Here is a 14,474-nt window from a genome sequence, read left to right on the forward strand (position 1 = left end):
CACACCTGTAGTCCCAGCTACTCACAAGGCGGAGGCGAGCGGCTCACTTGAACCCCGGAGGTCGAGGCTGCAGTAAACTGTGATCACACCACTGCACTCCAGCCAGGATGACAAAGCAAGACCCAGTTTCAACATAATAATAAATAATAAATAGTATTATTTTTAATAATATTATTAAATATTATTAAATAATAAAATAATATTTATAAATAATATTAATAATTACTTTTATTATTTTATTATTAAATAAGAAAATATTTATTATTTATTATATTTTATTTATATTATTTATTTTATATATTATGTATAATAAATAATATTTATTATTATTTTAAAAATACATACAAGTGATGAAGTAGGCAAAGATTTCTCTAAAAGGACACAAAAAGCAATGACTATAAAAGACTGACAAACTGAACTACATTAAAATCGAAATTCATTAAAATTGAACGTCATCGTGATAAACTTCTGTCCTGCTAAAACATGATTAAGGTGGAAACAGCAAGCTACAGCTGGGGAGGATCTTCACAATCCATATACCTGGAAGAGGATATGCAGCCGAAGATGCTAGCAACGCCTACAAATCAATCAGGAAAAGACAACCCAATATTGAACAGCACTTCCAAAGTGGATATGCACATAGCCAAAAAATACAGAAAACATGCTCAGGATGGAAGAAGTAAAAAATTATAAGGAAAATACATTGTACGTTTTATATACTAATTCGTTGTTAGCATTCAACATATTTTATTACAGTTTTTGAATAGGAAGGACATTCCTATGAAATAAAATTCAAAAGGTAAAACTGAGCTCACAGTGAAAACACCCTCTTTGCCCCCTCAACAACACAGTTCCCCTCCCTGGGTCATTGTTACAAGTTCTTGTATGTCTTTTCCAGAGAGACTCTAGCATGTAGAAGTAAACATACACATGCTTATGTATATTCATACATGTGTGTATTCTCCCCTTTTTAATAAAAACACAGACACAAACACTCCCAACACTATACTTTTTTTTTTTTCACTTAACGATGTATCCTGAAAAGTCAGTCCATATCAGTACACAGTTTCCTTATATTTAAAAACGAATGCATAGGCCGGCCGCGGTGGCTCACGCCTGTAATCCCAGCACTTCGGGAGGCCGAGGCGGGTGGATCACCTGAGGTCAGGAGTTCGAGACCAGCCTGACCAACATGGAGAAACCCCGTCTCTACTAAAAATACGAAATTAGCTGGGCATCGTGGCACATGCCTGTAATCCCAGCTATTCAGGAGGCTAAGGCAGGATAATTGCCTGAACCCGGGAGGTGGAGGTTGCAGTGAGCCGAGATCACGCCATTGCACTCCAGCCTGGGCAACAAGAGTGAAACTCTGTCTCAAAAAACAAACAAACAACAAAAATGAATGCCTAATATTCCATCATGTGGATGTACCATACTTTCTTTAAGCAATACATTGGGCCTGTTTAAACTTTTTATTCCATTTCATTAATCTGGCTGTCAATACATTGCACACATACATAGTGTTTCGACTGTAGTAGCTTTAAATATATGTTGATATGTGTCAGGGCTTGTTCCTACCAACCCCCAGCCACTACTATTCTTTATCTGAATTTTTCTAGCTATTCTTGTTTATTTTTCCATCTGAACTTTAGAATCTGGTTATTTTTTTTTTTTTTTTTTTTTTTGAGGCGGAGTCTCACTGTTGCCAGGCGGGAGTGCAGTGGCGCGATCTCAGCTCACTGCAACCTCTGCCTCCCAGGTTCAAGCGATTCTCCTGCCTCAGCCTCCTGAGCAGCTGGGACTACAGATGCGTGCCATCACGCTCAGCTAATTTTTGTATTTTTAGTAGAGACGGGGTTTCACCATGTTGGCCAGGATGGTCTCTATCTCTTGACCTCGTGATCTGCCCACTTCGGCCTTCCGAAGTGCTGGGATTACAGGCATGAGCCACCACGCCTGGCCAAGAATCTGGTTCTTAAAAGTTCCTCTTGGAATTTTTCCTGGGATTACGTTAAACTGGTAGCCTATTTTAGGGAGAACCGATATCTTTTAGATATTTAGTCCTCCTGCCCCTGAACATGATAAGCTTTTCCATTTATTTAGGTCTTCTTTTTGTTGTCTTTAGTGATGCTTAAAAGTTTTGGTTTTTTTTCACATAGATTTTGTACATTTTCTGCTAAGCATTTTCCTTGATGTTTAATCTTTTTTATTGTTAGTAAACAGCTGGAGTCCTTCCTTCCTTCTTTCCTTCATTTATTTATTTATTGAGTTTCCTTCTGTTGTGCAATGGCGTGATCTCGGCTCACTGCAACCTCTGCCTTCTGGGCTCAAGTGATTCTCATGTCTCAGCCTCCCAAGTAGCTGGGATTACAGGCGTGCAGCATGCCCGGCTAATTTTTTGTATTTTTAGTAGAGACAGGGTTTCTCCATGTTGGCCAGGCTGGTCTCGAACTTATGGACTCAAGTGACCTGCCTGCCTTGGTGGCCTCCCAAAGTGCTGGGATTACAGGTGTAGGCCACTGCGCCCAGCCTTCCTTTGTATTTTCTAACTGGTGGTTGTTTGCATAGATGGCGGCTTTTGATTCCCATTTATTAATATTAAACCCACACACCTTACTGAATTATTTTATTAGCTGTAGTAAATTTTGTCAGTTAATTATTTTGTGTTTCTCACTTATGCAATCAAGTCACTTGAAATGATGATAATTTTACCTATTTTCCAGTTAATAAGCCTCTAATTTCTCTCTCTTAACTAGTGGTGTTGACTAAACCACCAGAACAACGTTAAATGATGATGGTAATAGTATATGTGATTATCTTATTCTTGAATTCAACAGGAATACATTTCATGTTTTCCATTTAAGCATTATACTATCTTTGAGGTTGAGGTGGATATATCTGATCATGCTAAGAAAATAGGCATCTATTTCTATTTCACTACAATCTAGTTATTATCCAGATGGATATTGAATTTTGTTGAATCCATTCCAGTAGCTGAGGAAATGGATTATGACTTTTCTCTTTAAATCTATGACCACCAAGAACACATCTGCAGTTGAATGGGGTTGGGTTTATCGGCTCCTTGCAAGGAGGAGGAAAGTAAACCAAAAGGAACTATGGGATGTCTCACAAGAGGGTGTTAAAAAGGACTCTTTATAGGACAGGGCTTGTTTTAGTAGATTTGGGGGAGGTTGCAAGAAAATGGGGATTTCCTCTCAATGGGATGATGTCGGGAAGTAGGGGCAATTCTATAATTGTGTATATTTTAGATAATTCTTATGGAGAAGACGAGAAGAATAGAGTGAGGCTAAAGCTATGACGGTGAAAAGCATTAGTCATTTGTATCAGCCAGGATGGGGAGGTTTCCTGCGGTTTGGATAATGTTCTTGTTTTGTCTGTGCTCAGAGATCATTATGGAGTGGTCTGATCTCTGCCAAAAGACACGAGGGATTTCTGGGAGCACCACAAGCTAAGACAAAGACATGGAACAGAGTCTTTCCTAGAGCTTTCAGAGAGAGTACAACACCTTGATTTCAGACTTCTACCCTCCAGAACCGTGAGACAATACATTTCTGTTGTTTTAGGCTACCCTGTTTGTGGTATTTTCTTACTGCAGTCCTGGAAAACTAATAAAGATGCCAACTTTAAAGTATACAGAGTTGCCAGTTGCGGTGGCTCACGCCTGTAATCCCAGCACTTTGGGAGGCCAAGGTGGGCGGATCACGAGATCAGGAGTTCAAGACCAGCCTGGCCAATATGGTGAAATCCCATCTGTACTAAAAATACAAAAATTAGCCAGGCGTGGTGGTGCAGAGCTGTAGTTCCAGTTACTCGGGAGGCTGAGGCAGAAGAATCGCTTGAACCCGAAGAGCCGAGATCGCACCACTGCGCTCCAGCCTGGGTGACAGAGTGAGACTCCATCTCAACAACAATGGCAACAACAACAACAAAACAAAGAACATACAGAGTTTTTCAAGATTCTTCTGGGGGCCCGTGAGCCCAAAAATTTGCTTTAGATCAGTGTTTCTCAAAAGCTTACATAAACCATGTGATTCTCATGCATTTCACTCCCTTAGGGGTTTATTTTAAAAGTCATTTTCTGGGCTTCTTCCAGACCCACATAATGGGTGTGGGCCCTGTATTCTGCATTTTCAAACAAGTTTCCCAGGTTCTTCTACATCCCAAAACACTGCTGAAGTAGGAAGATACCTGGGCTGTAGACAAAAATTTGGATTTAATCTTTACCCAGTCTATTACTGAGCAAGTCTTGTCAATTTAGGCAATTTAAGAGTTAAAGTGTACACTCTACTGGGAAAATCCCCGGTTCCAAGTCGAGTGACTCTGAAATTTATTCACTGCACAGCATTTGTAAAATTGCTTCTTCTTTTTTTTTTTTTTTTGAGACAGAGTCTCACTCTGTTACCTAGGCAGGATGGAGTCCAATGGCGTGAGCTTGGCTCACCACAAGCTCCGCCTCTCAGGTTCAAGCGATTCTCCTGCCTTGGCCTCCCGAATAGCTGGGATTACAGGCATGCACCACCATGCCTAGCTAATTTTGTATTTTTAGTAGAAACGGGGTTTCTCCATGTTTCTCAGGCTGGTCTTGAACTCCTGACCTCAGGTGATTTGCCTGCCTCGGCCTCCCAAAGTGCTGGGATTATAGGCATGAGCCACCTCGCCTGGCCCAGAACAAACTTCTTAAGGGTCTGTCTAGCTCTGACATTCCACAAGGCTATGAAATGGTCCAGGAAGAGTTAGGGCAGGATGGCAAATTCAGGTGCCTTTGACTTTGGGAAGATGGAGGCAAAGCACTTTGTCCATCCAATTACTTTGTATTTATTTATTTATTGTTTGTTTGCCCAGACTCCAGTCTTGACAATTACTCTGCATTTTAAAACACTGTTGGGGCTAACCCTACCAACCTCTCCCCTGACCCGAGACAGAGTTAGCAGCTAATGTAGCTACTTCCCACTTTCTGTCACCCCTGCAAACAGGGCAAACAGGGATGCTGTATCTGGAAGCTCTAGGGGCAGGAGCCAGTCCTATTTATCCTTTGTAAAACACCTAGCAAAACGAGATGATTTTAGGTCAACCCTCCTGAAACTTGGCTTGGCTGCAGTGACAAGTTTTGTACCTACAGGAAGATCAGCATTTCCTTCCGTTCTTCCTCTGCCAATCCATCCCTGACTGGTCTTTTGCCCTCTTTTGAGTAAGAAACTCCTTGTTTTAGAGTGTTTCTGGATTAACGCTGGAAAGGGACCAACTCTGAGCCCATAGTGTGGATCCCATGTAACAGTACTCTTACCAGAAAAGGGGTTTCACCCCAGACCCCAAGGGCAGGTTCTTGGATCTTGCACAGGAAAGAATTTAGGGTGAGTCGCAAAGTACAGTAAAGTTTAAATGGTTTATTAGAAACTAATCTATTAGAGTAGGGTATCCTCAGGAAGCAAGAGGAAGAACGCCCTACCTCAAATGTAATGCTTGTTTGTGTAGGATATTAGAGCTAAGAATAGTGTATTTTATTACAAAGGCTTGTGATCGGCTTGTGACAGACTATCTGTATTGTTATTCTCTTGTGCAATTAATTTCAGAAAGAATTTATGAGTGGACTATTATCTTTAGAGCAAAATATAGTTTAAATTAAGAATGCCTTTTTCCAGGCCAGGCGCCATGGCTCAAGCCTGTAATCCCAGCACTTCGGGAGGCTGAGGTGGGTGGATCACTTGAAGTCAGGAGTTTGAGACCAGGCTGGCCAATATGGCAAAACCCCGTCTCTACTAAAAATATAAAAATTAGCCAGGTAAAGTGGCGCACATCTGTAATTCCAGCTACTTCGAAGGCTGAAGCAGGAGAATCACTTGAACCCGGGAGGCAGAGGTTGCAGTGAGCCGAGATGGTGGCATTGCACTCCAGCCTGGGCAACAGAGTGAGACTCCATCTCCAAAACAAAAACAAAAACAAGAATGCCTTTTTCCATTAACTTGTTTCCTCAACAATAAACATCTTGTGATCAAGAGTGCTGACTTCCTGGGAATGCAACCCAGCAGGTCTTGCCTTCCCCAGCCTTTATTTAGGATAGTGTCACTCTAGTTAGGACACCTCTGACAATACAACTCAAATCATTGGTAGCTCATGAAAAGAACTCACTCTTTGACTAAACTTGAGTCAGGCTCCTCTCAGTCCTCGTTTTGACTAGGCCCTGACCCTGGGCTGGTCCTTAACTCACTTAGTTCAGTTTTAGCAAGAATCCTGCTGAGTCAGTTCAGCAAAAATCCCCTACCCTTGGTATCTGATCACCTCGGCTTGTGTTCAGCAAAAATCTCCCTAACCTTTATGTGTCCTCTTAGTAATTTTCCATCTGCTGACTTCCACCCTGTTGCTTAACTATAAATCTCCACCTGTCCTTGTATTTGATGTTAAGCCTGATTTTTTTGCCCCTATTGCATAATCCCTATTGCAGCTGTTCTTGAATAAAGTCTCTCACCTTAACAATTGTTTGAATAATTTTTCTTTTAGTGCCATTTCCTACTGTAACATGCTGTGTGAGTCTCAATTTTCTGATCCATATAATGGAGAAACTAATACTTCCATCTCCGAGGCATGGAGATCAACTGAAATTAAAAATAACTTGCATATGGCTGGGCAGGGTGGCACACACCTGCAATCCCAGCACTTTGGGAGGCCAAGGCGGGCAGATCACTTGAAGTCAGGAGTTTGAGACCACCCTGGCCAATATGGCGAAACCCCGTCTCTACTAAAAATACAAAAATTAGCCAGGTGTGGTGGTTCACGCCTGTAGTCTTAGCTACTTGGGAGACTGAGGCAGGAGAATCGCTTGAACTCAGGAGGTGGAGGTTGCAGTGAGCTGAGATCACACCACTGCACTCCAGCCTGGGCAAGAGAGTGAGACTCCATCTCAAAAAAATAAAAATAAAAATAAAAAACTTGGATAAAGTGTAAAGATAAAAATCACTATTCTTGGGCAGGGGTCCCAGCTGTAGCCCAAGCTGGAGAACTAGACTGGCTTGGCATTAATTTGCTTGGGGCAGGAGAAGGGTCATCTGAAAGATATGGGAAAAGCTGAGGTTGCCCCTGGGAAGACTAGGGAAGCCTGCCCCCGGGCCAGCCCCTTGAATATGTCCAACTGAGGAGGTGGAAAGAAGTTCAAGGTAGCCAGGGAGACAAAAGTTGTTCACTTTGGTGCACATGTGGAACCAACATGGGACAAACAGGCATTTTGTGCTCGTCCAGGGAACATGACTTCTTCGGCTCCCACACAATTTGTAGCTGCAGGAGTGGCAGAGCACCAGAGTGGATGCAGGCCCAGATGTTCTCTGGGTTAGGTGTTAAGGACTTGTGGGAGTCATCAGGCAGCAGGCATTTGCCCCAGTGTCAGAGGTGTTTAAGCCAGAATTACTCCATCTTGAATAAGGGCTGGGTAAAATGAGGCTGCATTCATAGGAGGTTAGGCATTCTAAGTCACAGGATGAGACAGAAGGTTGGCACAAGATACAGGTCATACAGACCTTGCTGATAAAACAGGTTGCAGTAAAGAAGCTGGCTAAACGCCACCAAAACCAATATGGCAATGGGAGGGACCTCTGGTGGTCCTCACTGCTCATTATGCACTAATTATAATGCATTAGCATGCTAAAAGACACTCCCACCAGCAAGCACCATGACAGTTTACAGACGCCATGACACCATCATGAAATACTCTATATGGTCTAAAAAGGGGAGGAAGCCTCAGTTCCGGGAACTGCCCACCCCTTTCTCTGAAACTCATGAATAATTCAACCCTTGTTTAGCATATAATCAAGAAATAACCAAAAAATGGGTAACCAGTAGCCCTGGAGCTGCTCTGCCTATGGAGTAGCCATCCTTTTACTTCTTTGCTTTCTTAATAAACTTGTTTTCACTTTACTCTATGGGCTTGCCCTGAATTCTTTCTTGCATGAGATCCAAGAACCCTCTCTTAGGGCCTGGATCGGGACCCCTTTCTGATAACACCAGGAGACACCCTGGGTGGATTTCCTGAACCGACCGATAGATGAGCCTTCCACGCGGGAGACCTGGATCCTTATCGTCTTTGTGGCCCCTTCCATCTGCACGTGCGGACGAGGTCCGGGTCGCACTCGGGCGGTCAGCCTGGCACGCACAGCGCCGGCGTGCAGGGGGCCTTGGGTGCCACCGAGTCCGGGAGGAAATCTAGGCCGCCATCCGTCCGGAGACTGGCACCTGTGACCACCACCCAACATGTATTGAACAAGGGCTTGGAGGTCCTTTCTCTAAGGCCGCACCGATAAACGATTACCGACTGTTGACCTCACGGCCCCTTCGCTTCCGGCCGCACCGCCTCGCTGCCCACGCCTGCGCACTCAGGCACCGCAGGTAGGAGGAACGTACCAACTGCGAGGCGGGGGGTGCGCGCGAAGACCCCCGCAGGCTGCGCTTCCGGAAGTAACCCCTGGCGCATCCCGGAATCCAGAGCGCCCACTACGGCCTTTGGCCAGGCCCCCTGGGCGCGTTCCGGGAGCTCAGGCCTGCGGCGCTGGGAGAAGCACGCTGGCCAACAAGTTGGGTGGTGGGCACGCGGCCCAGGGGTCAGGGGCCGCCAGGCGGCGGGCGGCGGGGCTGCGGCTCTTACCTGCCGAGGAGGCGCCGGCTCTGCGGTGCGGAGTTGCGCCGGACTTCCCAGCTTGGCCAGTGGCTCCGCAGGCTGCCGGCTCCACCCCTCAGGTAAGCGGGGACTGGGCCGCCGAGGTTCAGGGAAGGGGGCGGCTGTCGGGGCCCGTGCCGGCCCCGGGGGGCCACCTGCTGGGCCAGCGGTGCCCTCGCGCCGAAACACACTGGGAGAGGCCAGAATCTTCCGGAACAGCCAGCCCTTACCCATCTCTCCCTCTGTGCCGAGAACTGCCCTGAAATACTGTGGTATTAATTAACTCGTTTAACACTAACAATCTCATGAGGCGGGTGCTGTTACTATTCCCGTAATGTAGACGAGGAAACCGAGGCGTGTGCTGGAGCAGGATCACGGCCGTGCTCAGAGACGGGCTCTGGATGCCATGCTCTGACTCCATTGTTAGCCCTAAGCTTCCAGAAAGTAGCAGAGTGCTGCCGTGTCGTTTGTAACAGATCTCACTTTGTGTCATTTTTTTTGCACAGTATGAAACCTAATGATGCATGATTATTATTTAAAACATCTTGCTTAGACTTTATAAGTAGTCAAATTTGCGTGTGGGACAAAACCCCAAAACATGCAATGGCTTGCTCTCCTCTTTTCCTTTCACACGTTCATCTCCTCCTATCCCTTTCTCTCACCACCTTTCAATCTTCTCACAGATGTTGTGGAGGAAGATGAGACTTGAGGGCCCAGCAGGTGCTTAAAATCCCCTGCCTGGTGGGGGTGGAGTAGACACTCTGTCCCCCTGCAGTGCTGGAGTTGAGAGCAGAGGGGCTGGAGAGGGACTGGGCGGAGTGAGAAAGGCCTGGCATAATCATGGAATGCCCAGGGTGGGGTTCTACTTCTCTTGCAGGCACAAGAGAAGTAGAAGAGTGGCCGCTTTCCTTCTGGGCACGCACTTGGGAAAAGGCTTGGTGAGAGCAGCGAGAAGAATAGGTCTAATTTCTTGAGCCAGTGTGCGGAGGTGCTTCCCAGCCCAGGCTAAGCCAGATCACTCAGCCAGCCGCTGGCTGCCTTTACAGATGTACGGCTCCCCGTGAGCAATCAACATGCCTGGCTCTCAGGCATAAGCTGCCTCACTTCCCTTCTGCACAGCACTCCAGGACTTGCCTGCTACCAGACCCATCCTACTTTCTCTGTCAGGAAAAATGAGAGTTCTTCCTGGTCTCTTGAGGCCAATCCCTTCCACCGCCTGTGCCCTGGATCCCTTTCTCCAGGAAGCTTCTCTTCCCTGTGTAGTTAGCCTCCCCGCTCTTCCCAGGTCACCTTCTCTCTGTTTAGGGACAGAGCCAAGCCTTTTCCCTCCCATCCCCACCTCCAGCATTCCCGGTTCCTGCTTCTCCCCCACTTCCTGCTGTACCGCCCACTGAAGGGACCTTTGACCCCGCTGACCACTGCTTTTGGAAAGTCTTTTCTTGGTTTCCCTAACTTCACTTTACTTTGGTTTTTCCTTGTCTCTCCCCTCTGCCTCTCAGTCACCTTTGAGATCTGCTCATCCTCTCACCTCCCTGTATTGTCAGCATTACCTGGGCAGCCCCCTCTGGTGTTTTCCTTCAGTTTCTCTAGAAACTTGCCTGAAGATTTGCCCCAAAATAGCCCACATGGACCTGTATGAGGAAAGAGGCTCACTGTGGAGGCGCTCTCCATCATTCCTCCTCTTCCACTTGAGGCTTAGGCATGGGCCACCTCCTGAACAGCTCTCCCCACAGTCTCCTCCATGCATTGTGCCATCACCCCGCCCTGCCGTCACCCCGGCCTGGCCCGCTTTCCCTTTTGCCTCCCAGGGATGTGCCTGCTTCCCATGTGGCCTGGCTAGGGCGCTTTCCTGACTGCTGCCCACATGATCGACTATGGGCAGGCGTGCAGCCCAAAAGGCCGTGCTTCAGCTTAGAAGCCCTTGGAATCTTGTCTTGTTGTGGTTGTAGGCCTCCAATGTGTTGTCAGCTGTGGTGATGTGTGTCACAAGTAACTTCTTTTTTTTGAGACAGGGTCTGGCTCTGTTGCTCAGGCTGGAATGCAGTGGTGCAATCACGGCTCACTGCAATCTCCACTTCCCTGCTCAAGCCATCTTCCTGCCTCAGACTGCCAAGAAGCTGGGACCACAGGCACAGGCCATCACAGCTGGCTGATTTTTTTGTATTTTTTTTGTAAAGACAAGGTTTCGCCATCTTGCCCAAGCTGGTCTCAACCCCCTGAGTTCAAAGCAGTCCACCCACCTTGGCTTCCCAAAGTGCTAGGATTACAGGCGTGAGCCACCACACCTGGCCACAAGTAACTTCTTAGTTATAAAGTACTGAAATTTATCAATGACTTTCTTTTTAAAATTTACGTTTTAGATTCATTTGGATTCAAGGTTGGCTCTCAACAGTGCCAGCTGCACTGTCATCCTAAAGTACTTCTGTGGAAGAGAACATGGTGGTGTCACTGTTGTACCAGTGATGACACAAAATCCCAGATCTACCTGACGGGCCTGCGAGGGTTGAAGATTGTGAAGCAATAGCCTAAGGTAAACAACACCTTGCAAGACGGGTCTAAGCTCTTCAGTGTAATAGACCCTGTTTCTCAGTAGGTCAGCCCGGGGGCCCCCCAGGGATCCCTCCCCGCCTCATAGCACCATACCCCACTTTCCCCCTGGTCTAATGATGAGCCCATTTCTAGGTTGTCGTCTCATCCTGAGCCCCAAGTGCCAGCCAGGCAGCTACTCTCCTCTGTTCATATCTTGAAGGCAGAGTGCTGGCTCATAGTAGACATTTGATGAATTTCTGTTAAATGATTGAGTGAATCAAGAGTATCTGCAGAGTATAGCATTTATGATGAGACAAAGCTAATTGGGAAACAGAACAAGATTGGTGTCCTGGGGTAACTGGGTAGGTCTTAAGATGAAGATTTTGGGGTGTGCTGGGTGCAGTGGCTCACACCTGTAATCCCAATACTTTGGGAGGCTGAGGCAGGGGGATTGCTTGATCCCAGGAGTTCAAGACCAGCTTGGGCAACATGGTGAAATCCCGTCTCTACAGAAAACACAAAAATTAGCTGGGTGTGGTGGTGCACATCTGAAGTCCCAGCTACTTGGGAGGCTGAGTTTGGGAGGATTACTTGAGCCCAGGAGGCAGAGGTTGCAACAAGGTAGATCATGCCACTGTACTCCAGCCTGGGTGACAGAGCAAGACCCAGTCTGAAAAAAAAAAAAAAAAAATACTTTGGAGGGTGACCCCGTTCTGCAGATGGCCTCTGGAGGCCTGGATGTTCACACTCTGGGGTTGCAGTTTCCTCAATCATGAAGTGAGAGTTAAGTCCCCTCCAGTGTGACATCCAAGAGCAGTTGTGGGCCCAGGACAGCAGCCTGTGTTTCCTTTGCAGCTTTACCTAGCCCCTACACAAGCGCCACCTTGCAGTAGGCCTTCAGTTCTTGGATTTATTGGTGGCTGAAAGTTCTTGCGAGATGGACTTGAAGTTGTTGCCACTTAACCCTTCTGAGGTTCTTCTGGCTGGGAGGAGCTCCTCTTTCTGGCCAGAGTCTTGCTTGAGCCTTCTTAGCCATCTCGTCACCTGTTATAGGCAGCCCTGCCATCTCTGGTGACCCTTTTTAAACATTACCCTGGTGAGTAATGTTTAGCATCACTCATTGTCAGATCTTTTTTATCTTTTTTTTTTTTTGAGTTTCAGTACCAGTAAGTCTTTATGTATTCATTATATCTTTCCAGGGAAAGGAGAAGGGAAGTGAAAAGGGTCAGCATGTGTGTTGCAAAGTGATTAGAAAATGGGAAAGGAAGTACCTGGTACAGAAAAATCAGCCATCCAATAGATGCACCCCAGAGATGGAGTAACCAAAGCCCAAGGGGCCCTGGTCTCCTGCAGTTCAGGACTGAGGGGCAGGGATCAGGGAAGGTACAAGCCTTTCTACCCTCCCTCCCTGCCCCTAAATTCAAGATTTCACATAAAGCTTTGGTTTCTAGCAGTAAACATGGGGTTACATTCATCTGTCTCCTTTTAAACAATCTTGTAGCCACTTTGACATAAGTTCTTGCACCGGGCCGGGCGTGGTGACTCACACCTGTAATCCCAGCACTTTAGGAGGTCAAGGAAGGAAGATTGCTTGAGCCCAGGAGTTGGAGTCCAGCCTGGGCAACATAGTGAGACCTTGTCTCTACAAAAAAATTAAAAGAATTAGTCAGGTGTGTTGGTGTACACCTGTAGTTCCAGCTACTTGGGAGCTGAGGTGGGAGGATCGCTTAAGCCTGGGAGGTTGAGGCTGCAGTGAGCCAAGATTGTACCACTCCACTACAGTCTGGGCGACAGAGCAAGACCTTGTCTCAAAAAAAAAAAAAAAAAGTTTCTTGCACTTGCGTAAAAGTTCCTAAGTGACTTAGATATATACTCATATTCCTTTGCCTGGTCTCCTGACCCCACTTCTACGTGGAAGGCCCCCGGTTGCTTCTCCCTTCTTTGAGATTACAGATTAAGTAGGTTTGATCCATCCCAATAAAGCAGTGTCTTAAGTGTTTGGGGTGAACCACATTGACTCAGGTTTGGAACAAGAGATGGAGGGTTCCTGACTTCTTCAGGCTGTTCTCATACATCATTTAAGAGTTGCAGAGACAGCCTGAGAATTCAATATATGCGTGTGTGGGTATGTAGGTTTTCTTTTGGGGTAGGTGAATGGAGAAGAAGGTACGGTAGAAGTCAAGTTTTTAGGGCAGAAGATCTGGTCCAAAATAGGAAATAGAGGAAGGGGAACACAAAGAAAGGATAGTTCAAAATCCCTACTTCAATATGGGGGTCCCCCAAACTCATGTTTTACATCCTTTTTGCCTGGTTCAGAACTTTCTGTAAAGATGCTTTGGCCATTTTTCTCTCAATACAAAAAAGTTTGTAAACAATAAAACCCCAAAAAAACATGGAGAAAGACCAACACAGTATAGTTACACAAACTAGGCCACCTAGCAGTCACCAACTGCTACAAAGTCCAGACAGATACAGGAACTAGAGGGGGCAGCGTCAGGGGGAAACAAACCCAGGATCAGATGTGCACCCCTGAACACGTTCTATCGTGCTTGTCCCATTCTAGCCCAGCAAGGGAGGTTTGTGGTGATCCTATAGCGTGTAAATGAAGCCCCCTTTTCTCCTTAGTTACCGTGATGCTGAATCAGCGCTGCAGCAGGGCAGGACGCTGGCTGTGCACACCACATGAAGAGGCCCTCTCTTACGGGGCTCCCTTGAACCCAAGAATTTGGAAACGTTAAGAATTTTAGTTCTTGCTTCATATATCCTTCCCTGGACAGCACAGGATGGGTACAGGGGCACTGGTCTTAAAATTTAGCGTTCCCAAGTCACGTCTTTTACGAATACACACGCATACCCTCTGTTGTGGATGGTAGGCCTAGCACAGTCCAGTGAAGGACGGACCTGGTGTGTGAAGCAAGTCCCATGCCCTAGGATTAGGAAACCCTCACCTAACCGTGGTGTCCCTTGGTGTCTCTGCACCTTAGTCTAATTTTCAATCTTCCACTAGCCAGAGATCAAGTCTTGATGCTATCCAGTTGAAACCTAGTCTCCCGTGAAACATTTTCAAGGTCGGGGGGTTTCAGGAGGACACTGTGGCAGAAAAGCCAAGTCTCTGGCAAACATGAGGTAGTTCAATAGGCTGGGTCCTCCATATAGTTGCTCTTCGTGGTTAGAAAAACAACCAGAAGTATTCCTGCTATGCAGGCCTGGAGCTTCTGCCGACTTATCCCTGAGGTTGCTCAGTACCTGAGAAGAGTAAAGAGTGAGGGACCGAGATTAAAGTAGA

At 46.5% G+C, this 14,474-nt stretch overlaps 2 protein-coding genes across 20 annotated transcripts in view, besides 4 other annotated features; one reads left to right on the forward strand and one right to left on the reverse strand.

Moving 5' to 3' along the window:
• ACTR3C (actin related protein 3C) overlaps positions 1-8,724 on the reverse strand; it is a 442,186-nt gene extending 433,462 nt beyond the window's left edge. For all 16 annotated transcript variants that reach the window (NR_147012.2, XR_007060145.1, XR_007060143.1 and 13 more), the window contains exon 1: positions 8,648-8,724. The gene's annotated coding sequence lies outside the window, so the exon portion shown is untranslated. The remainder of the gene's footprint in view (positions 1-8,647) is intronic.
• The window catches only part of LRRC61 (leucine rich repeat containing 61), a 28,658-nt gene that overhangs the window by 5,323 nt on the left and 8,861 nt on the right, over positions 1-14,474 (forward strand). The window contains exons 1-2 of one of the 4 annotated variants that reach the window (NM_001363433.1): positions 7,840-8,391; positions 11,020-11,189. The gene's annotated coding sequence lies outside the window, so the exon portion shown is untranslated. Of the gene's footprint in view, positions 1-7,839; positions 8,392-8,533; positions 8,740-11,019; positions 11,190-14,474 lie in introns of those variants that run through there. The other 3 variants (NM_001142928.2, NM_001363434.1, NM_023942.3) reach the window with 3 other exon arrangements.
• Positions 7,754-7,863: an enhancer, noted in NCBI's record as "active region_26820". NCBI's record gives its function as "activates an Ori minimal core promoter by ATAC-STARR-seq in GM12878 lymphoblastoid cells {active_cell/tissue: GM12878}" and the evidence as "EXISTENCE:reporter gene assay evidence [ECO:0000049][PMID:35858748]".
• Positions 7,914-7,973: an enhancer, noted in NCBI's record as "active region_26821". NCBI's record gives its function as "activates an Ori minimal core promoter by ATAC-STARR-seq in GM12878 lymphoblastoid cells {active_cell/tissue: GM12878}" and the evidence as "EXISTENCE:reporter gene assay evidence [ECO:0000049][PMID:35858748]".
• Positions 8,584-8,903: a silencer, noted in NCBI's record as "silent region_18773". NCBI's record gives its function as "represses an Ori minimal core promoter by ATAC-STARR-seq in GM12878 lymphoblastoid cells {active_cell/tissue: GM12878}" and the evidence as "EXISTENCE:reporter gene assay evidence [ECO:0000049][PMID:35858748]".
• Positions 9,294-9,363: an enhancer, noted in NCBI's record as "active region_26822". NCBI's record gives its function as "activates an Ori minimal core promoter by ATAC-STARR-seq in GM12878 lymphoblastoid cells {active_cell/tissue: GM12878}" and the evidence as "EXISTENCE:reporter gene assay evidence [ECO:0000049][PMID:35858748]".

Source organism: Homo sapiens, chromosome 7 (genome assembly GCF_000001405.40).
Source record: "Homo sapiens chromosome 7, GRCh38.p14 Primary Assembly".
In the NCBI taxonomy this organism is placed as follows: Eukaryota; Metazoa; Chordata; class Mammalia; order Primates; family Hominidae; genus Homo; species Homo sapiens.